This window comes from Homo sapiens, chromosome 6 (assembly GCF_000001405.40).
Source record: "Homo sapiens chromosome 6, GRCh38.p14 Primary Assembly".
Classification (NCBI taxonomy): domain Eukaryota; kingdom Metazoa; phylum Chordata; class Mammalia; order Primates; family Hominidae; genus Homo; species Homo sapiens.
Window position 1 is genome coordinate 29,419,713 of NC_000006.12, and position 22,768 is coordinate 29,442,480.

The 22,768-nt window shown below is 37.3% G+C and overlaps 2 protein-coding genes across 4 annotated transcripts in view, besides 1 other annotated feature; one reads left to right on the top strand and one right to left on the bottom strand.

The window, feature by feature from the left end:
- OR11A1 (olfactory receptor family 11 subfamily A member 1) overlaps window positions 5,792-22,768 on the bottom strand; it is a 31,568-nt gene continuing 14,591 nt past the window's right edge. Inside the window, exons 2-5 of one of the 3 annotated variants that reach the window (NM_001394828.1) lie at window positions 12,152-12,275; window positions 10,589-10,713; window positions 9,201-9,248; window positions 5,792-8,020 (exon numbers count right to left, since the gene is read on the bottom strand). In NM_001394828.1, the coding sequence (NP_001381757.1) occupies window positions 6,982-7,929 (948 nt within the window). In that variant the 5' untranslated portion in view covers window positions 7,930-8,020; window positions 9,201-9,248; window positions 10,589-10,713; window positions 12,152-12,275 and the 3' untranslated portion in view covers window positions 5,792-6,981. Of the gene's footprint in view, window positions 8,021-8,501; window positions 8,755-9,200; window positions 9,249-10,588; window positions 10,714-12,151; window positions 12,361-22,768 lie in introns of those variants that run through there. The other 2 variants (NM_013937.4, NM_001394829.1) reach the window with 2 other exon arrangements.
- Window positions 19,594-21,265, top strand: OR10C1 (olfactory receptor family 10 subfamily C member 1). The gene has a single exon (NM_013941.4). The coding sequence runs from the start codon at window positions 20,304-20,306 to the stop codon at window positions 21,240-21,242; it is 939 nt and encodes a 312-aa protein (NP_039229.3). The 5' UTR covers window positions 19,594-20,303; the 3' UTR covers window positions 21,243-21,265.
- Window positions 20,762-21,262: an enhancer, noted in NCBI's record as "H3K4me1 hESC enhancer chr6:29408251-29408751 (GRCh37/hg19 assembly coordinates)". NCBI's record gives its function as "activates a minimal SCP1, AML or CMV promoter by ChIP-STARR-seq in naive H9 embryonic stem cells {active_cell/tissue: H9 hESC(naive)}" and the evidence as "EXISTENCE:reporter gene assay evidence [ECO:0000049][PMID:30033119]".

The window sequence follows — 22,768 nt, forward strand, 5'->3', positions numbered from 1 at the left end:
TCTATTTCTTTTTCTCCTCCCTTAATTGCTCCTTGTGACTATCATATGCTTCTTCAACAGGGAAGCCTCAGACAGACTTTTTCATGTTCCAGTAGACCACGGCAAAAGCTGCCAGCCTGGGGCTGAGATTGACCAGTAATAAAATGTCTCCTATTCAAAAAAGCCCAGGATCTGATGGCTTTATTGATGTATACTACCAAACATTTATAGGATAATTAATGCCAATCTTCTTAAACTCACTCAAAAATATGAAAAGGAAGAAATACTTTCAAACTCACTTTATGAGGTCAGCATTACCCTAATACCAAAGCCAGACAACGCAACTATAAGGAAATGCAGTTACAGGCCAATATCCCTGATGAACATAGATGCAAAAATCCTCAATGAAAACTAGCAAAATGAATTCAACAGCACATTAAAATGATCATACACCATGACTAAGTGGGATTCATCCTTAGGATGCAAGAATGGGTTAACATACACAAATTAATAAATATGATATGCCACATTAACATACTGAGGGATAAAAACCATATGATAATAGGTGCAGAAGAAGCATTTGATAAAATTCAATATTCTTTCATAACTAAAAGAAACTTTCAACAAATTAGGTATAGAAGAAACATAGCTTAATGTAATAAAGATAATGTATATCAAGTCCACTGCTATTCTCATTATCAGTGTTGGAAAGCTAAAAGCTTTTCTTCCGATATCAGGAGCAAGTCAAGGAGGCCCACTTTCACAATTTCTCTTCAATATAATTCTGACATTCCTAGCTATAGCAATTACACAAAAGAAATAAATAAAAGGCATCCAGACTAAAAAGGAAGAAGTAAAATTTTCTGTTTGCAGATGACTGGATCTTACATCTAGAAAACCCTAATGACTACACCAAAAACTGTGAGAACTAATAAATTTAGTTAAGTTCACAGGATACAAAATTAACTTACAAAAGCCAGTTGCATTTTTACAACAATGATCTATTTGAATAGGAAATCAAGAAAACAATTCTATTTACAATAATATCAAAGGTAAATAAAATACTTAGGGATAAATCTAACCAAGAAGGTGAAAGATCTGTACCTTGAAAACTATAAGGCATGGATGACAGAAATTGAAAAAGATACAAATAAATGGAAAGATATTCTTTATTCATGGATTGGAAGAATTCATATTGTCAAAATGCTCATACTTTCCTAAGCAAACTGTAGATTCTTTACAATCCCTATCAATATTCTAATGGAATTTTTTACAGAAATAGCAAAAGTACTAAAATTCTTATGGAACCACAAAAGACTCCAAATAGCCAAGGCTATCTTGAGCAAAAAGAACAAAGCTGGAGGCACAACTACCTGAACTCAAAATATACCACAAAGCTATAGTAATCAAAACAGTATGATACTGGCATAAAAACAGATACATAGAACAATGGAACAGAATAGAGAGCCCAGAAATAAATCTATGTACTTATGGTCAGTTGGTCTTTGGCAAAGGTGCCAAGAACATACAATGGGAAAAGAATAGTTTCTCCAATAAATTGTGTTGGAAAAACTTAATATTCCACCTAAAGAAGAATGAAATTAAACCATTGTCTCAAACAATACGCAAAAATCAATTTAATTGGATTAAAAACTGAAAGGCAAGACCTGAAACTAAAACTACTGGAAGAAAACAGGGAAAAACTTCTCAATGGTGGTCTGGGAAATGATATTTTTAAAATATCATACGTAAAGCACAGGAAACAAAATCAAAAATAAATACGATTCTACCAAACTAAATAGTTCCTATTTAACAAAAGAAAACATCAACAGAATGAAGAGATAACCTATGAAATGGGAAAACAATATTTCATAAAGAGTTAATATCCAAAATATACATTTTTTAAAAACTCAATAGCAAGAAAACAAATAGCCTAGTTTAAAAATGAGGAAAGAATCTAAATAGACATTTTTTCAATGAAATAGATATTTCCACACAAATGGCCAAGTGTATTTTTTAATGTTCAACATCATTAAATCAAAGGAAATACAAACTACAACCACGAGATATCACTTCACATCTGTTAGAATGGCTTTTATCAAAAAGACAAAAAATAACAAGTATTAATGAGGATATAAAAAGAGAACCTTTGTACATTGTTTTTGGGAATTTACATTTGTACAGCCATTATGGGGAACATATAGAGATTCCTCAAAAAACATAAAGGTAGAAATACCATATGATTCAGTAATCCCACTTCTGGGTATATGTCTAAAGGAAATAAAATCAGTATTTCAAAACCAAACATTGTATGTTCTCACTGATATGTGGGAGCTAAGCTATAAGGATGCAAATACATAAGAATGATACAGTGGACTTAGGGGACTTGGGGTGTAGAGTGGGAGGGGGGGTGAAGGATAAAAGACTACAAATACGGTGCAGTGTATACTGCTTGGGTGATGAGTGCACCAAAATCTCACAAATCACCACTAAAGAACTTACTCATGTAACCAAATACTACTTGTACCCCAATAACCTATGGAAAAATAAAAAAAAAATTAGTATTTCAAAGACATATCTGCACTCTTGTGTTCATTGCAGCATGATTCTCAATAGCCAAGATACAGAATTAGCCCAAAGGTCCATCAAAACAGAGAAGTGGATTTAAAAATGTGACCTATATAATGTGCATATAGCGTGGTGATTATAGTTAACAATACTGTATTATATACTTGAAATTTTCTAAACTAGAAGATCATAAATGTTCTCACCACACACATACAAAAGGTTGTAACTATGTGAGGTGATGGATGTGTTAATTGGCTTAATTGTGGTAATCGTTTCACAATGTATACATATCTCAAAACATCACAGTAAACATCATAAATATATACAACTTCATGTGTCAGTCATACCTTAATAAAGTTAAGAGGAAGAAAACGACCACCAAACCCTCTAGGCAGGGGAATATATCAATAGGAACTTTAAAAACTGAAAAGCGAAGAAAACAAAGACTTATTAAAGCAGAGAAGAATATTCAAGGATTCTGGAAAAACTCCAAAATATGTAATACATACAATGGGAATATCAGAAGGAGTAGAAAAGTAGATAGGAACAGAAGAAATATTTGAAGCAATAACTGAAAATTTCCCCAAATTAATATGAGACATCAAACTTCAAATCTAGGAGGCTCAAGGAATACCAAGAAGCATAAATGCCAGAAAAACTATGGCTAGGAATATCATTTTTAAACTATGGAAAATTAAACAAAAATCAGAAAGTCAAAGATTTTTTTTAAATCATGAAGAAGCCAGAGGATAAAAAATACCATACCTTTAGGGAAGAAAAGATGACATCTGAGTTCGCAGAAGCTACAAAAGTTAGAAGAAAATAGAGTGAAATATTTAAAATTTTTGATAGAAGAAAAACCAATCTAGAATTCTGCACTACATGAAATTATCCTTCAAAAGTGAATGAGAAATAAACCTTCTCAGAGGAACAAAAATTGAGGGAATTTATTGCCAATAGACTTGCCTGGTAAAAAGTGATAAAATAAATTTTTTAGAGAGTAATAAAATTATACAAGTGAGACATTTCAATCCACCTTTAAGAACAGAAGAGCATTGAAGAAGAAATAAGTGAAAGTAAAATAAAAGAAAAAATATCTAATTACGTATGCTTATGTAAGTGTGTGTGTGTGTGTGTATGCTTTCATATGCTTAGGATGGTTTCATAACTTTGCTCTTGTGAAAAGTGCTGCAATTAACATACACATGCAGGTGTCTTGTTTGTACCATGATTTATTTTCCTTTGGGTAGATATCTAGTATTGGGATTGCTGAATCAAAGGGTAGTTCTAATTTTAGCCCTTTAAGAAATCTTCATACTGTTTTCCATAGAGGTTGTACTAATTTATATTCTCATCAACAGTATATAAGCATTCCCTTTTCTCTGCATTCTCACCAACATCTCTTGTTTTTGACTTTTTAATAATAGTTACTATTACTGGTATGAGATGATATCTCAGTGTGGTTTTAATTTGCACTTCTCTGATGACTAGCAATGTTGAGCTTTTTTTATATGTTTGTAGGTTTTGTAGGCTGATTGTATGTCTTCTTTTAAATGTAAGACCTGAAACTATAAAAATTTTAGAAGAAAACCTAGGAAAAACTCTTCTGAACATTGGCCTAGGCAAAGAATTTGTGACTAAGACCTCAAAAGCAAATGCAACAAAAATAAAAATAGACAAACAGAACTTAATTAAACTAAAAGGCTTCTGCACAGTGAAGGGAATAATCAACAGAGTAAACAAACAACCTACAGAATGGGAAAACATATTTGCAAATTATGCACCTAATACGGGACTGGTATCCAGAACTTACAAGGAACTTAAACAACTCAACAAGAAAAACAAATAAATAACCCCATTAAAAAGTGGACAAAGGAAATTTTTGTATTTAGTATATGCTTGAAATGTTTGTATTTTAAAATGTCAAAAGAAAAAAAAATTAGTACCTAACATTATCCTTTCGCACTGTGCCAAGAGTAGACATTCATTATAGTGCTTTTACATCTGTGAACACCCCCACTACATTGTGATCATTTCCTAGATTCCTTAACAGCTGGTAACAACCATGGAAATTAGGTCCTACCAATCAGCAAGACTATGCATGTGGAATTCAGTCTTCTCTGCATGAAACAGAGGAATCTGGTCCTTCTGGAGCATCAGTGATGGATCTAGAAGTACTCTAGGGTTGAGTAATGATGGCAGTGATATTTACGCCAACAAGAGACCCTCTGTGTTTCTGCATCTCATTCCTGGCAGAATAATTCAGAGTCTGACTCTCTTTACCTACAGGATAGTGTGTGAGCTATCAAATATTATATAAGAAAAAACAGCAGCTTAAATTAGCCAGGGTAGCTTATGTTGTTTGCAACTGAAACCACACCAAGAAAATTCACTTCTCTCAATTACTCACTCCTGATTTTAGTTACATATGCACACAGACACACAGAATAGAGCCTGATATGGTTTCGTTTTATGTCCCCACACAAATCTCATCTCAATTGTAATCTCCCATGTCAAGGGAGGGACCTGGAGGGAAGTGATTTCATCATGGGGGAACTTTCCCCCACGCTGTTCTCCTGACATATACACTAAGTAAACAGAGCTCTGGTCTATATAACCCTGGGAACCAACCACATCCTCTCTGTACTACTTACCTCCAGACTTCTTTTACTTGAGAGAAAAATTAACTTTTACTTACATGACAATTTTTACTTTTAAAACTTTGTATTGACAGTTTCTAATAGCTAAGTGTGATTCCTGGCTGACTGATATATAATGTACTAGAGAGCCATTTATTAAAATGGTGAATTTTGGAATTGAAAAAGGAACATAAAAACATTTGGAATAAAAGTTAATCATCACCTTTCCACAATGGATGATTAAAGTATTAGGGAAAACGTTAATTAGAAACTGAGTAATTGATAGATCTGACTGATACCACCTCAACTCACTGGACAATAATATAAATAGCATCTCTAAGAGTGGGACAACTAAATATCATGTGTCTCAGGATATGATGCAATAAAAATAACATAGCAACTTAAGTCAATGGCATGACAAAAAAGTGGGGTCTGCTATGTTATAAAGGGACTGGAAAGACAATAACAAAATACATTGTGTGAACCTTGTTTAGATCCTAATTTTAAGAAATTACTTAAAGATCAATGGAGAAATTTGAACATGGCTTGTGTATTAGATGATATAAAGGAAATACTGATAATTGTGCTAAGTATCATAATGGTATTGTGGGCATGGTTTTTTAAAATGTCTTTATTAGTCACAGATTATACTAAATACATATGTGGAATATGTACATACATAACTTACACAACATAATAGTTATACAACATCTGGAATTTGCCCTAAAATTTTCCATGAAAACTAACAAACAAGGAGCTGTAGCTAATTAAAATAAGATTAGCAAAATGTTGATGTTGAAGCTGGATGGTGGCTACATGGAGTACATGGGGGTTCACTGTGCTCTTCTCTTTTATGTATGTTTGAAATGTTCTACAAGAAAAGAAGTTTAAAAGAAAAGGAATTCAGCTTTAGATTTTTAAAAACACATATCCTTAGATCTTGCAATTTAGGTGCTAAAAGTTTATTACAGGAAAATCCAGATGTAAACAATGTACAGTAAAAGAATAGAATACAACTAAAAATTCCCAAAATAGAATAACAAATCATGTTTAGCCATACGATGAAGCCCAGAAGAATAAAGAAATAGATGCTTGTTAATAGAAAAAGTTGTTCGTGACACAGTGTTCAGTGGAAAACCAGATTACAAACTCCATGATCCAACTTGTATGTATAAATATAAATACACATAGAAAGAAATTTTTAAATGTCATACAACAATAATATAAAAAACAATATTTCTAGGTTTATTTTGGTATTGCTGTATTATTTTTAAATATTTATGACATATTTAATAAAGAACTAATCAAAGTTTAAATAATTTTGATTATTTGACATGGATGGAATTGGAGGCTACTATCCTTCGCAAACTAACACAGGAACAGAAAATCAAATACCGTATGTCTTCACTCATAAGTGGGAGCTAAATTATGAAAACATATGGATACATAGAGGGGAACAACACACTGAATCCTACTTGAGGGTGGAGGTTGGGAGGAGGGAGAAGATCAGGAAAAATGATTAATGAGTACTAGGCTTAATACCTGGGTGATGAAATAATCTGTACAGTAAACCCCCATGACACAAGTTTACCTATGTAACAAACCTGCACATGTACCCTTGAACTTAAAATAAAAGTTAAAAAATTGTTGCCCTATCATTTTCATTTTTAGTATAACTGCAGAAGAGTTCAAAGAGAATGGTCGAATAAGACAAAGTTACTCCTCTCCAACCCATCCTGGAAGAGTCCCCAGTGGAGGTGTCCGAAGTCCAAAATAACATCTTCATTACTCTCCTTCAATCAAGTGTTTCAGTTTGTTTGATACAGAGAATCTTCCGAAGTGCCTGATGCACCTCCTTGTTCCTCATGGTATAGATCACAGGATTGAAGAGAGGGGTGACCACAGTGTAGAGCAGGGAGAAGACCTTGGAGAGGAGCTGGGAATGGACAGCAGAGGGTGCAACATAAAAGATCATGAGCGTTCCATAGAATGTGGTCACTACAGCTAGGTGGGAGGAGCATGTGGAGAAAGCCCTTCTCCTGCTTGCCCCAGCAGGAACTCTCAGCACTGCCACCACAATTCTGGCATAAGATGTCAGAATCAGTCCAAAAGGAATAGTGAGGCAGAACACAGACAGAATGAGAGTTGTCACCTGAGCCACTCTGGGATCCGAGCAAGCCAGGCCCACGAAAAGCATAAAGTCACAGTAAAACTGGTCAATGTGGTTGGGGCCACAGAACCTCAGCTGGGCCACCAGGGCCACAACCAGTCCATCTACCACAAATCCAGAGAGCCAGGTTGTGACCACCAGCCCCATGTACCGTCTGGGCCCCATCAGGAGTGGGTAGTGGAGTGGGTAGCAAATTGCCAGGTAGCGGTCATATGCCATGACAGCCAGCAGTAAGCATTCAGCTGTGGCTAGAGAGCCGAAGATAAAGAACTGGAGCAAGCAACCAGCCACAGAGATAGTTGCTTCTTGCAGGAAGCCCTCCAGCATTTTTGGCATCACTGCGGAGGTGTAGAGAATATCCAGGAAGGACAGATTCGCCAAGAAAATATACATGGGTTTGTGGAGCCTCTGGGAGCTAACCACTGCTACAATAATCAGCATATTCCCTATGATGATGAAGACATAGACAGCAGTGAATACAATAAAAAACAAGAAATGCAGTTCAGGGATGTCATAGAAGCCAAGGAGGACAAATTCAGTAATAGTTTCGTTTCCTGTGGAGACAATTTCCATGTCGATCGTCCAAGTTTCTGCTTGGCAATAATTGGGGGAGAAATTTTAGCATGTCTCTGCATCTTCTATACCAAGCCTAACGTTATTAGAGCTAAAACAAAACAAAACAAAAAAGACAAAAATGAGTCTCTAAAACAAGACTCGCTCACGCAAGTCTTCAACTATCCCCCTTCTTAGTTGTCATTCCTTCCTCAACTCTCATCCTTCCCTGCCTTCCTTAATTGTGCATATTCTTTAACGCTCAGAAGAGTTTATCCAAACTCATAATTTTAGTCTTTCAAAGACCTTTACCCCATTAATTCAATCTACTACCTCTTTCGCATAATCACCTCTATCATTCTTATCTGTATAGTCAGCCATAGCCTCCTTCTTGTGCACCAGTATAATATTCTCCAAATGTGTGCTATATAGACATGGCCCACAACTGCAAACTCTTCTATCTTTCTCAATCACAACCAATTCCTCTATGAGTGGTTTGAGAATTCTGTCTAATCCCCATGGTCACTATCTCATTCTTCTCATTATCTCAACCGCCCCTTTCATTCCCCATCTCCTAATCAGTGATACCTTACCAACTGTTCCTCGGATAATTCTTATATATTCTTCACTTATTGCCTTCCTTAAATAGTAGTTTCATCAAGTCATTCAGGAGTTGGTAGTGAAAATGTGGTAAATGGTAATAGGGAAGGAAGTAGGTGCCATGGGAGCAGAGAAGGACCAAACCCAGCCTGGGGTTGTGGGGCAGAAGGTGTGGGATCAAGGTCGGGGAAGGCTTTCTGAAGATAGAAGCAAGTAGGCTAAGTTTTGAGGGCCAATTAAGAGTTGGCCAGGAGGCCGGGCTTGGTGGCTCACGCCTGTAATCCCAGCACTTTGGGAGGCTGAGGCGGGTGGATCACGAGGTCAGGAGATCGAGACCATCCTGACTAACACAGTGAAACTCCGTCTCTACTAAAAATACAAAAAAAATTAGCCGGGCGTGGTGGCGGGCGCCTGTAGTCCCAGCTACTCGGGATGCCGAGGCAGAAGAATGGCGTGAACTCAGGAGGCGGAGCTTGCAGTAAGCCGATATCGCGCCACTGCACCCCAGCCTGGGCAATAGAACGAAACTCCATCTCAAAAAAAAAAAAAAAAAAAAAAAAAAAAAGAGTTGGCCAGGCAAAAGACAGGAAACCAGACCAGGCAGGGCATCCCTGGCAGGAAAGCATATGCAAAAGCAAAGAGTTGTAATTGAGCATGACACTTCTAAATATCTGAAAATGGCTCTGTCATACCTGCTGGAAGGTTTTCATATGCTATTCAAAGCAATATGTGTTTATTAACTGAAGACAATGAGAGAGAATACAGGGAATGATTAGAAACAGTTGAGAAAGGTAGAGAAAAAAAGCAGATATCATATAAATAAATATAAATACATAATACTAACAGTGTTACTTTCTAGAATATGGGATTAATAAATATACATTATATTTATTATCACAAAAAATGTAAGTTATCTTTAATACAAATAGTCTAGAACATCAGTTTCCTAAGAGGTGAAAAACTGGATGCCTCAGGGACCACAGTGCTGGGAGCCTTCACGGCACACTGTTTTGTAGTTTTGCCTAAGACCAAATCTGCCTTTTGAATGGAATCCCATTTTCCATACCTCTGCTCATTGCTAACGTTAAATCCTCGAAGACCCAGCTTAAGAACTTATCTCTACCAAGAATCCCCCTTGACTAATAGAGCCCTTTATTTCTCTCCCAATCATGTACTAAGGATCTAGTGTATAGAAGATATTACATCTGTTTCTGAGGATAGTGGGCCAAACAAAACTGGTCCATACTCTTAAGGAGTTTACACTCTTGTGTGACAGATGGACATATCAACAGAAAATTGCAATACGCCAAAAGACAGTTAATGAATTCAACCTGAAAGAAATAGTACTAGGAGGAAGTGATGCTGAACTGATGAGTGATTGCAGTGGAAAATGGAAAGAATGGAGGTGAGGGCATTTTAGGTAAAAGGAAAACCATGAGTACACACTGAGGCAAGAAACAACATTGGATGTGAGGAGGAGAAAGAGGTAGCAGGGGGTAAGTAGCCAAGGGTAGCTCAAACAATCCCCTCGATTCTGAAGGAGAATTAGGATTGAGGTGAAGAATGGGGGAAGACAGGGAGAGAAAGGGGCCAGGATCAGAGTCTGGGGACCCTTGCTTGTCACAAGAAGGAACTAGAGCTTCATTCTATAGGCAGCAAGGCACAGCTGAAGGCTTTTAAACAGTACAGTGGCATGTTTCAACCTAAATTTAAATAGTATTATGGAAGCTACATCCAAGGTAACAAGAGTGAAAGAAGGGATGGCCCCACTCATCTGATACCTGATGTGCAAATACATGCTGCCTTGAGTTCATCATTAATTATCTTATGGTATGCACTTTCTCTTTTCCAAAAGACTAAAAGTTCATTTAGCACAGGATTTAAATTTTTATAAGTGCTACTGTACCGAAGTCTTACAAAAAGATATATTCTCAATGAATACTTAATGTTTAACACCATGTCTTCCTTAACCTAAACCCATATGAATTGATCAGAGAAGAATGCTGTTCTTCATAGACTACAAAATTCCACAGGTTCTGTTATTGCCCTCCAACTCCCGTCTCTAAAGCTATTCTCTTACCCTTTGATCCCATCTGCATTTCCTTGTGAGTGAATCTGGCACTCCCTATGTGGGCCATCTTTAACTCTAGATTATTTTATCTGGTCCAAACTCATTCTGAGGCTTGGAGTCTTTCTATAGGATTCCTGCCAGGAGAGAGGTGAGCATGTAAATCAGGCAAGAATACCTCTAATAATAAATAGCTCATGACCACTACCTCCCCTGGAAATCAAGAGTATCATTGGAGCTGGAGGCTATTATTTTAAGTGAAATATCTCAGAAACAGAAAGTCAAATATTGCATATTCTCATTTATAAGTGGGAGCTAAATAATGTGTGCACATGAACACAGAATTCAGAATAATAGACATTGGAGACTTGGAAAGGTGAGGTGGGAAGGGGTGAGGGATGAGAAATTACCTAATGGGTATAATGCACACTATCTGTGTGATGGTTACACTAAAAGCCCAGACTCAATCGCTACACAATATATTCATGTAACAAAACTGCACTTGTACCCCTAAATCTGTAAAAGTAGATATGAAAAGAAAAGAAATGGGAAAAACACAGAAACAGTAGGATATATGAGAGGCTGTTATTCCCTTAAAGACAGAGGGGAATCAGGGAATAGAGGAAGTTGATGAATTTAGAGTTGAAAACTCCAAGGAATAGAGCTGAATTTGGAATTGGAAAACTCAAAAAACTGCAGGAAGAGTTTGAAATCAACAGGAATTTCACCATACTGACTGGTAGAGAAGTAAGAATAGTGCAAAATGCCTGTTTGTTGTCTAACGAACAATCAGCCACACACTCAATTCTAAGTAAAAACCATAACCCTCATTCAACCCAGACTCTGAGATAGCATAGAGTCCTTAATTAAAATGAGCAATTCAAAGAATATTCCAGGAAAAAATATTTTAAAAAATATATACAAAACTGTACATTTTAATTCATCTTTAGGTATTAGAAAAAAATTTATTCTCATATTTTGAAATGTCTGCTAAACAAACATGTTATGTTTGTAAGCAGAAAACCAAAAAGTTAATTCAGTTTGATTTTTTTAATCTGTTAATTCTCCTCAAGTCTCTTCAGTAATTACTCCATAATAAAACATTAAAATATACTTAAAAGGTTTTAAAAGAAAACAGTATAATTTTAAGTATATCCCAGTTTTGTCAAGCCATGGGATAGCAGGAGGAAAACTTTCCACCATGAAAACATTAGTATGAGGGTGTCTCGCTTCTTCCTACTCTGTAACATATCAACTGAAGCTTGGGGAGCATGAATATCTACTGTTCCCCATCTCCAAAAGAGAAGAGAGAATTAAAAAAATAAGTCAGTATGCACCCAGAAGGATTAGAAATCAACTTTTAAAAACATCCAATGGAGAAAAGAGCAGCACTGGTATTCTAGAGAAATACTGCGGGACTTCTTGAAATGATTTTTAATAAAAGACTTTTTGACTCTCTGGGTTAATTGAAAGTTGCTAGTGATTACAGGATAAACAGCTATAAAAACCAGCCATTTAACTTTTTTAAAGAATCTGTGAACTAAGCTGTAAAGAATTTTACAAAAATAAACGTACCCGAAATATCGACCCTGTTCTCTAAAGACAGGACTGTGAGGAGGAGATGATCTGCTAAGATTTGCTGAAGACTTCAGAATGTTGGAATTTCCTACCTTCAGCTCCCTCCCTGCTTGAGCTCAACCTGAAGTAACGTAGAACATTGATTACAAATGTCACCCTTGTTACCCTCCACTCCTGAGCCATTTTCTCTTCCACCCTCCATCCCCTTTTCTAGCTCTCAGGCTATTCTGTCCTTTCATCGCAGTCCTTTCCCTCTATCACATGGGAGGGCAGGAAATTGCCACAAAGGGAGAGGCCCCTGAGAACCAATTACAGATTTACTGGAGAGCAGCCTGAAATGAGCAAGACATAGCAGGCCCCTAAGGAAATTGTATTTTTTCAAAGGCGGTTTCCTGAACTGTTGGCTTGACCATAAACGGAGCAGAAACCAAAAGAGCCAAATGGAGCCCACCTTTCCATCCCCTTGGGGACAAATGCTCTCCATTTCACCAAACATCTAAAGCCCCAATTCCTAGTCTCCATAACTCACCAGAAAATTCTGATTTCTCTGCAACATCCCTAAATTCCCCATTACCAACAGTGGTCCTCCCAGGAGCCTGCCCTCAACTTTCATTCTCCAATCTACAGCCTCCAAATCGCCCTCTTACCATCCCAGGCAATTGTTTCAATAGGTACCACCCTTAGTAGGGGTGTTTTATATAGATCATCAAAATCTTGCCAATGCTGAGCCTGATTTAAGGAGAAGGAAGGTGGCGTGATGTTACAAAATGACGTTGAAATGGTTATGTAGCGTTTCAATATCCTTCCTGACCAAATTACTGCCCAACAACTTTGTCTGCCACTACTCCCTTTTTTGAAGCTTCCACAGAAATCAGGCTGATATATTTATTTCTCATCCCTAGGAGTGTGTTGAAGGCACTTCTGTGTCATTTATCAAACTCAGACCCTAACTTCAGCTCCACTTTCTCCCTGACCAACCGAGAACACTTTTTCTCTGAACTACGTTGTCTACTATCTGTAGTTCACAGTAAATGCCACCCTATTTTTTCTTGGCAGCAGGAGGGGTTCTCTTAATCGTTTATTTTTTTCATCAAACAGCAGCATATGCTAAAAGGTAAGTATATGTGTCTTGAAAAGAAAACTTTTGGAAAAATGTAGCATTTTTTAGTTAGCCTACATTATTATGATTTTTAATTGACAAATTAAAATTGTATATATTTATGATGTATAACATGATGTTTTGACATATGTATACATCATGGAATGACAAAATCAAGCTAATTTACATGAACCATTACCTCACATACTTATCATGTTTTTGTGATGAGAACACTCAGATCTACTCTTTTAGCAATTTTCACATATACAATTCATTAATTATAGTCACCCTTTCATATAATAGATCTCTTGAATTATCTCTCTTGTCTAACTGTAATTTTTGTAACCTTTGACCAATATCTTCTCAATTTTCTCCCTTTCTTCCAGCCCCTGGTAACCACCATTCTATTCTCTGTTTCTGTGAGTTTGACTTTGTAGATTTCATGTAGAAGGGAGACCATGAGGTATTTGTCCTTCTGTGCCTGACTTATTTCAGTTAATATAAGGTCCTCCAGATTCATCCATGTTGTTGCAAACAACAGAATTTCCTTCTTCTTTAAGGCTGAATAGTATTCCACTATGCATATATACCACATTTTCTCTATCCATTCATCTGCTGAGGGATGCTTAGGTTTATTCCACATCTTGGCTATTGTGAATAATACTACAATGAATATGAAAGTGTAGATCTCTCTTCTTATTTCCTTTGAATATATACACAGACAAGGGATTGCTGGGTCATACAACGGTTCTATTTTTAATTTTTTCAGAATTTTTCAGAAACCTCCACAGTGTATTTAATGACTGTACTAATTTACGCTTCCACCAAAAGTGTATGAGTTCTCCTTTTCCACATTTTCATCAACATTTATCTCTTATCTTTTCTGTAGTAGGCATTCTAACAAGTGTGAGGTGATATCTTATTGTGAATTTAATTTGTATTTCCCTGATGACTAGTGATGTTGAGCATTTTTTCTTGTACCTGTTTGTCATTTGTACGTCTTCTTTTGAGAAATGTCTATTCAGGTGCTTAGCTCATTTTAAAATTGAGTTATTTGTTTCCTTGTTATTGATTTGTTTAAGTTCCTTATATAGCTTGAATTTTAGCCACTTACATGTATCATTTACAAATATTTTCTCTCAACCTGTGGGTTGTCTTTTCACTCTATTGTTTCCTTTGCTGCGGAGAAATGTTTTAATTTGATGCAATCCCATTTGTTTACTTTTGGTTTTGCTGTCTGTGATTTGAGGATCATATACAAGAAATCTTGCCCATACCAACGTCATGGAACTTTTCTCCTATATTTTCTTCTAATAGTTTTACAGTTTGCAGTCATATGTTTAAGTCATTAATCCATTTTGAGTTAATTCTCATATATTGAGTGTCATAAGGATCCAATTTCATTCTTCTGCATGTGGATATTCAGTTTTCCAACATCATTTATTAAAAAGACTTTTCTTTCACCGTTTCATGTTCTGTTTATATGATCATATGGTTTTATCTTTAATTCTGTTAATGTTATGTATCACATTTATTGATTTGTGTGTTGAACCATCCTTGCATCTCAGAGCTAAATCTCACTTGATCATGGTGAAAGATCCTTTTAGTATACTGTTAAATTTGGTTTGATAGAGAAACACAACTTCAGAGATAATTCAAGTTTAAGATGGGAAAGTCTGACTAATCTTAATTCTTACAGATATTTTAGCAAACTTTTTGTCAAAATACATTTTATGGACTTTTTAAGGTCATCAGTTCAGACCACAGTCCCATGGATAAAGACAAGGATCTGTGGGGAGTAGATGTTTGTATTGTTAATCACCCTGGTGAGAGGTTAATCCTGGGGTATAAATGAAGTCTCCAAAAGTAGGTGATATATTAGCATGAAAAATACATTTCTACCTTCCCTTGTGTCCTGGGGTCAATTTGGCCTAAACTGCAAGACGTGAAAAGATTATAAGTAGTTCCAAATGAAATGAAATATACCCTTGGCCACATAAATTACCTAGTGGAATTCAAGTGTGTGTGGATCAGTATAACAGCATATAATTCTCTGCACTACATTTACTTTCCACTAAGTTAGAACTACAGTAAATTATTCTATAAGCTACAACTTGATATATGTTGTACTAGGAGAATTCTAAGAGGGCCTGTGGCCTTGCTTAGAAAAAGCAGGTACAGGGGACAGTGGTTGCTGTTCCCACAGCCAGGGTGGAGAAAGCAATGTCAACCACTGCAAAGGATGACAAAATAAAAAGAGTCAGTCAGCTCTCACAGAGCAGCAGCTTGAAGGCACAGAAAAGACACAAGAGAGGAAGGACCAGAGGAGACATTCCTGAACACATCTTGCAAACTCTCAGAAGTGACTATGGGATGCTTCACGGGGGCTAACTTCAAGCTCAAGTTTGACAACCATTTATGTTGTTTGGCTTTGGTCACATATATATCCTATTTTGTATCAGTAATTCCAGTTGGAAAAGAAACCACACATTTCCATGAGTCTCCCATGTTACTAAAATATTTCATAAGCTCGAGCTCAGTGATGTTTTCTGATTATTTGTTCCTTAGACTCCAGCCTAGGCATCCAAGGCAATCTGAATCCATAGAAACTTTAATAACAGTACATCATGGACCTAACCCAAAATATTGTTCAATCTCTTATCTTTGAAAACTTCTTGAGGATTAACAATATATTTTAATACAAAAGAGATAGTATTCAACCCAGCAGGATTTTACAAAAACAAATTATAGCTCTTTGTGGTTTCTGTTAGAGATTTACATAGTCTTACCATTTAGATTTCTTCTTCACTAGACTACGAATTAGAAGTAAATATTATCCAGGGCAGATGGTGTATCCTATTCATCTTTGTATCCCAAGAATATTTTAGCTGTGTCATAAATGATTAGTGAATAAGTAGCAATGCATGAATGCATGAATGAAAAAATAAAAATGGTCACTTGATTCATAATCCCTGGCCTTCTAAAAATATATTAACACAATGTCCGGTTGAAAAGAAAGTTCCAAACATTCCACCAGTAGACATGACTAGCAATAGAGTTGACCTTCATTATTTGTGGATTCAGTATTTGCAAAGTCACCTGCTCCCTAACATCTATTTTTAACCCCTAGCTCAATACTCACAGCACCTTCGCAGTCGTTCATGGACAAGTGCATGAACACAGTGACAAAAAGTTTGAGACACACTGTATGCATCCCCACCTGATGCTGAGCAAGGAAACGCTCTGTCCTCTTGTTTCAGCTATTATACTGTAAACAAGTGTCCTTTTCATGATTTCCTGATTTGCTGAATGCCATATTTTTCACATTTTTTGTTTGTTTTTTGGTGATTTCATAATTCAAAATAGCCCCAAATGTAGCGCTGAAGTGCTGTCCCATGCTCCTGAGCACAAAAATGTTGCAATGGATCTTACGGAGAAAATGCATTTGCTAGATAAGCTCTGTTCAGGCATGTGTTATAGGGCTGTTGGCTGTGGGTTCAACGTTAATGATCAACGATATATATTATATAAGATGTGTTTAAACAGAAACACACTTACAATAAGGTTATTTATTGATCAGGTGACAAAAATGTGACCAAAAACTCATAGGAATCTAACCCTGCATCTCCCCTAAAGCAAGGAATTATTTAATATTTGCTCCTACAGGGTTCAAGGCAACTTTATAGAATGCAACTGCAGTGAATAATAAGAATCAGCTGTGTCTGCATTTTAAAGATGAGAAATATGAGTCTCATTAAAATGAAGTGAATTGTACAAAGTTATAGAATAGGTTAGTCATAGAGCCAGCATTAAAACCCTGGCCTAGTTCAGTGCTCTGTCAGCTGTATCTTCAGTTCTGAAAATGCAATAAGAAAAGATAAAATACGGAATTCAGTCGGCCAGTGGCCCGCAATCCTCTTCTCTCGGTTCCTCTTTCCTCGCTCAAGATGGCGCTGCTCGCGAAGCGTTCTTGGCGTTGGGCGGCCGCAGCGGCTGCTTTCGAAAAGCGCCAGCACAATGAGATACCATCTCACACCAGCTAGAATGCCGATCATTAAAAAGTCAGGAAACGACAGGTGCTGGAGAGGATGTGGAGAAATAGGAACACTTTTACGCTGTTGGTGGGACTGTAAACTAGTTCAACCATTGTGGAAGTCAGTGTGGCGATTCCTCAGGGATCTAGAACTAGAAATACCATTTGACCCAGCAATCCCATTACTGGGTATATACCCAAAGGATTATAAATCATGCTGCTATAAAGACACATGCACATGTATGTTTATTGTGGCACTATTCACAATAGCAAAGACTTGGAACCAACACAAATGTCCAACAATGATAGACTGGATTAAGAAAATGTGGCACATACACACCATGGAATACTATGCAGCCATTCTGCATCTTTCTAATGACAAGAATATTCTCCAGCATAACCACAATACTATTATTACACCCAAGGGAATTAACATTGAACCAATAATATAAAACCCATATTCAACTTTCCCACTTGTTCCAAATCTTTTTTATAGTTGTTTTTATTTTGTTTTGTTGATGACGTAGGATCCAGTCAAAAATCATGAATGACATTTTATTGCCATGGCTTTTGGTCTTCTTCAATCTGGAACGATGTCATCTCCCATCTTTGCTTTGTCTTTAAAGACATGGATATTTTTTAAGAGTTTGTGTCAGTTGTCTATAGAATATGCCACAATATGGATTTGTCTGACTGTTTTCTTATACTCCAATTAAACATTTTTAGCAATAATACTACATAGGTTACACTAAGAGTGGACAAATAGCAATCCAAATTATTCTACTCCATTCTGTTCCCTGTAACATTAATGGCATCATCTTCAGCCATAACAGGGCTACACTCTGGGAGTAGATGACTGATGAGCTGAGAGAAAACAGATTCCTGAGGAATTCTGGATCAGAGCAGCCATATTTCCCTGAACTACAAATCTTTAGACATTTAAGTGAGAGATAAATTTTCATTCTCTTTGAGCCATTGGCATTTCCATTACTTTCAGCCAAATCTAATAAATAAATGAAATGATAAAATATAAAGGAGTCAGAAGAAAACTAAGTACGAAATCCAGTTTATGTAAACCCTGAACTTCTAGTTATATAAATTAATAAGTAAATTTATTACTTAAACCCGTTGGAGTTGGGGCTTGTTATAATGGTTGGTATGTCTTGAAAACATTCTATTTGACACACAGCTTTTATCACATCTATGAAAATGTATAAAAACACAGAAGAAACAAATCAAATAATAGATACCAATGATAAAAATGCAAAGAAAGATTTGTATAATAAATGAAAAAGAAATCAAAGCAAGAAAAATTAGTGACAATTGTATAAGAAAATGACATTTAGCACCTCAATTAGGTCAAAACATGTTTATTTCTCTTTTATATTATTAGTTACCTGTAGAATCAATAAAACCTGCAAGGGACCCTATAAATAGTTATCAAATAAATTGATTACTGGATTATATCAATATACATAAGAAGGGTAAAATTGCATTATTACTTTTTGTAGATGTACTAGAACATCTACAGTGATGGGAAAAAATCATGAGAAAAAAGAAGAAAATTAAAATGGTTGAACCAGAGATATGGGAGAACTAAGAGAAACCAATAGCTCTGGATATATTCTTTGAAATGTTCTTAACAGGTCATTCTGTATTTCTTGCAATCTAAGAAACAGATTCAAAATAACAGATTAATTGGTTTTGTGAAGCATTCTCCCCATTGGAAAGCCAAGAATGCTTGGAGACTCAGATCCTCAGAGAGCTTAAAGAGAGACAACAAACCTAAGAGAGGCTTCCTCAAGAGGGATCCACTATGTAGATAAAAAAGAAGATAAGCAAGTCACAAATGCCATCTGCCTTCACTGGTTATTTCTCCAAATAGAAAATAGAAAGACACCTTTGAGATAATATCTTCTGGAAAACACTGAAAGAGCCCCCAGAGGAGAATGAACCAAGGGCTCTTCAACTGCAAAAGGATATCAGTGTGTGGACTTGTATTTCTAATACACAACCTTGAATATGGCTGGAATATTGAATTTGTGTATATATTCAAGTGTATCTTTGGGTGTTTATAGTTTTATGTTCAGTGTATTTAGACTTTTACTGTTATCTGTAATAATGCCAATAGAATACATGATTTGCAACTTTAGATAAATCTGGCATCTGGGAATATTAGGCTATTCTTCTGTGCCTGTATTTTGAAATATAATTTGACAGTGTGTGAATTTGTGGAGTTTATGTGTGTAGTTTGGGGATTTTCATGTTTACAATGTAAGAGGACTAAGTTTGAAAGTCTGTAAGATGCAGAAATAAGCAATTAAGGAAGTTCTTGTCATCTTTTGCCTGAGCATGTTTTAAAACTAGAGAAATGCTCACCCCTCTAAATAGTTGAACTGTTTAATGCTATAGGAGCTTAAAAAGAGAGGATCTTTCTCATTTTTTTTCTCCTCCTTGAACACTGTGAAATTTATGGTAAAATGACAGAAAAAGAAGAAAGACTAAGTGAATCTGGTAACTAAAGAAAGAGCTGGAAAAAAGAAAACTAGAGGGCAAGAGGTGATAAGAGAGGTCACCTCTTATCAGACAGGAGACAAGTTGATGGAGAAAAAGATCTGCTATGAGGGAAAATTCTGTCTCCAGCCCTGCAGGAAGAATTGGAAAATCAGAAAAGAGTGAAAAGGGAGCTAGACTGACTTAATCTTCAGCCCAGGTAAAACTGGAAAGACAGTTTAACATGTTCTTTAGAATGATAGGCACTATCAGGAAGAGATGAAGTCAGGGATTCAGGCTCAGAGAGACAAATACTCATCCAGGATCCCAAGAGTGAGCAAGGGTGGAATATGGACTCCAGGCAAGGCTGCCTAATTTCAAAGTCCATGATATTCTAATAGAAAGGGAGATCTAGTGCTGCGATCAGATGCAGAGAGAGGTCATCTTTGCCCATTTCACGATTCCATAGTTGTGATTTTTCCTTGCCATTTCTTTTGTCTTCCAGTCAAAGGTATGCAGGCAGGATGAGTGCAAACACCTCCATGGTGACTGAGTTTCTTCTTCTCGGCTTCTCCCACCTGGCCGACCTCCAGGGCTTGCTCTTCTCTGTCTTTCTCACTATCTACCTGCTGACCGTGGCAGGCAATTTCCTCATTGTGGTGCTGGTCTCCACTGATGCTGCCCTCCAGTCCCCTATGTACTTCTTCCTGCGCACCCTCTCGGCCTTGGAGATTGGCTATACGTCTGTCACGGTCCCCCTGCTACTTCACCACCTCCTTACTGGCCGGCGCCACATCTCTCGCTCTGGATGTGCTCTCCAGATGTTCTTCTTCCTCTTCTTTGGCGCCACGGAGTGCTGCCTCCTGGCAGCCATGGCCTATGACCGCTATGCAGCCATCTGTGAACCCCTCCGCTACCCACTGCTGCTGAGCCACCGGGTGTGTCTACAGCTAGCTGGGTCGGCGTGGGCCTGTGGGGTGCTGGTGGGGCTGGGCCACACCCCTTTCATCTTCTCTTTGCCCTTCTGCGGCCCCAATACCATCCCGCAGTTCTTCTGTGAGATCCAGCCTGTCCTGCAGCTGGTATGTGGAGACACCTCGCTTAATGAACTGCAGATTATCCTGGCAACAGCCCTCCTCATCCTCTGCCCCTTTGGCCTCATCCTGGGCTCCTACGGGCGTATCCTCGTTACCATCTTCCGGATCCCATCTGTTGCGGGCCGCCGCAAGGCCTTCTCCACCTGCTCCTCCCACCTGATCATGGTCTCCCTCTTCTATGGCACCGCACTCTTTATCTATATTCGCCCTAAGGCCAGCTACGATCCGGCCACTGACCCTCTGGTGTCCCTCTTCTATGCTGTGGTCACCCCCATCCTCAACCCCATCATCTACAGCCTGCGGAACACAGAGGTCAAAGCTGCCCTAAAGAGAACCATCCAGAAAACGGTGCCTATGGAGATTTGAAAAGGGGGCGATAGTGACTTCTGTGCAGTGCTCTGAGTCAGTCCCAAATACCTAAGGATCAAAGAGTCTCCCTTAAGGTCTTTCTTCACATTAGGGGAGGGCCAGCCTGTCAGAAAGACAAACTTATCTTTGAAAAGCTACCGTAGTCAAATGCGCTCCTCAGACCCTCACAACACATACATATTCTATTCCGCTTTCTGTTGCAAGAAACAAGAAACCCAGGATGGAGGATCAATTTCAGAAGCAGAGCAAGTTGACAACCAGGGATAAAGTTACAAAATATTATCCTTATCAGACTAGCAAGGTAATAAAATTTTCAGCCACAACAATGATCCTTAAAGTCATTTGACATTTGTACGTCCTAGGTAAGGCATTTGTTTCTTGGGTGGTACTACTGGTTAGTACCTTAGCAAACATAATTATACCTAATTAAATCTACTACCAGCTAAAGACAGATTCCTCAAGAAGTAAGGAGTGGCCACAAAAGTTTCAATGAAGGTAAGTTCTTATGGAAATTCATATGCCGCAGAGGTTAAGAGAACAGATTCTGATGTCAGACAGACTTAAAGTCAAGTCTTATTTTTTCCAGCTAGTTAGCTAAGTGATCACAGGTGAATGATATAATCTCTCTGAGCCTTAATTTTTTTAAATTTTATTTTAGATTCAAGGGTACATGTGCAGGTTTGTTATATAGGTAAATTTCACCTCACAGTGATTATTTAGTCACCCAGGTAATAAGCATAGTACCTGATAAGCAGTTTATTGATCCTCACCCTTCTTCTATCCTCCACCCTCAATTATGTCCTGGTATCTGTTGTTCCTTTCTTTGTGTTCATGTGTACTCAGTGTTAGGTCCCACTTTTAAGTGAGAATATATGGTATTTGGTTTTCTGTTCCTGTGTTAGTTTGCTTAGAATAATGACCTCCAGTTCCATCCATGTTGCTGCAAAGGACATAATCTGTTTGTTTTTTGTTTTGTTCTGTTTTGTTTTTATGTGAGCCTTAATTTTCTTATCTATAAAGTTGCGGTAACAACAGAGTCTAATTCATTGGGTTTTTGTGAGGATTTGTAGACTTGCAAACAATCAAGCTTAATATCTGGCACAAAATAGTATCTTGATAGATGTTTTTGTTAGCAAGTCAGACAGGTCAGCGCAAAGGCTAATGTTTGGCTCACATGGGGTGACTTTGCTGGGAAGAGAAGGGTATTCTTGAAATATCAGTGGCATTGGAACCCACAAGAGACCCAGAGGAAGGTGGAAGAAGAGGCTCTATACATCACTGTTAACAGAAACTGCTACCCAGCACAGATATGAGCCAAAAACTACCAAGACACGGAAGAGCAAATATAAGGGCTATGATATGCAGGAGAGTCAGTGAACTGCAGAACAAATAAGTGGAATAAGCTGAGAGGGTGAATCAAAAACAGCCATCTCCAAGAGGCAAGTATTTATTAATAATTAAAAGTGCAATCTACATACTTTATATCATTCCAACACTTTATTCAAATGCAACAGTATTTATTG

Excerpts from the sequence above, each read along its gene's own strand:
- OR10C1 (NM_013941.4), top strand. The coding sequence starts at position 20,304 with ATGAGTGCAAACACCTCCATGGTGACTGAGTTTCTTCTTCTCGGCTTC.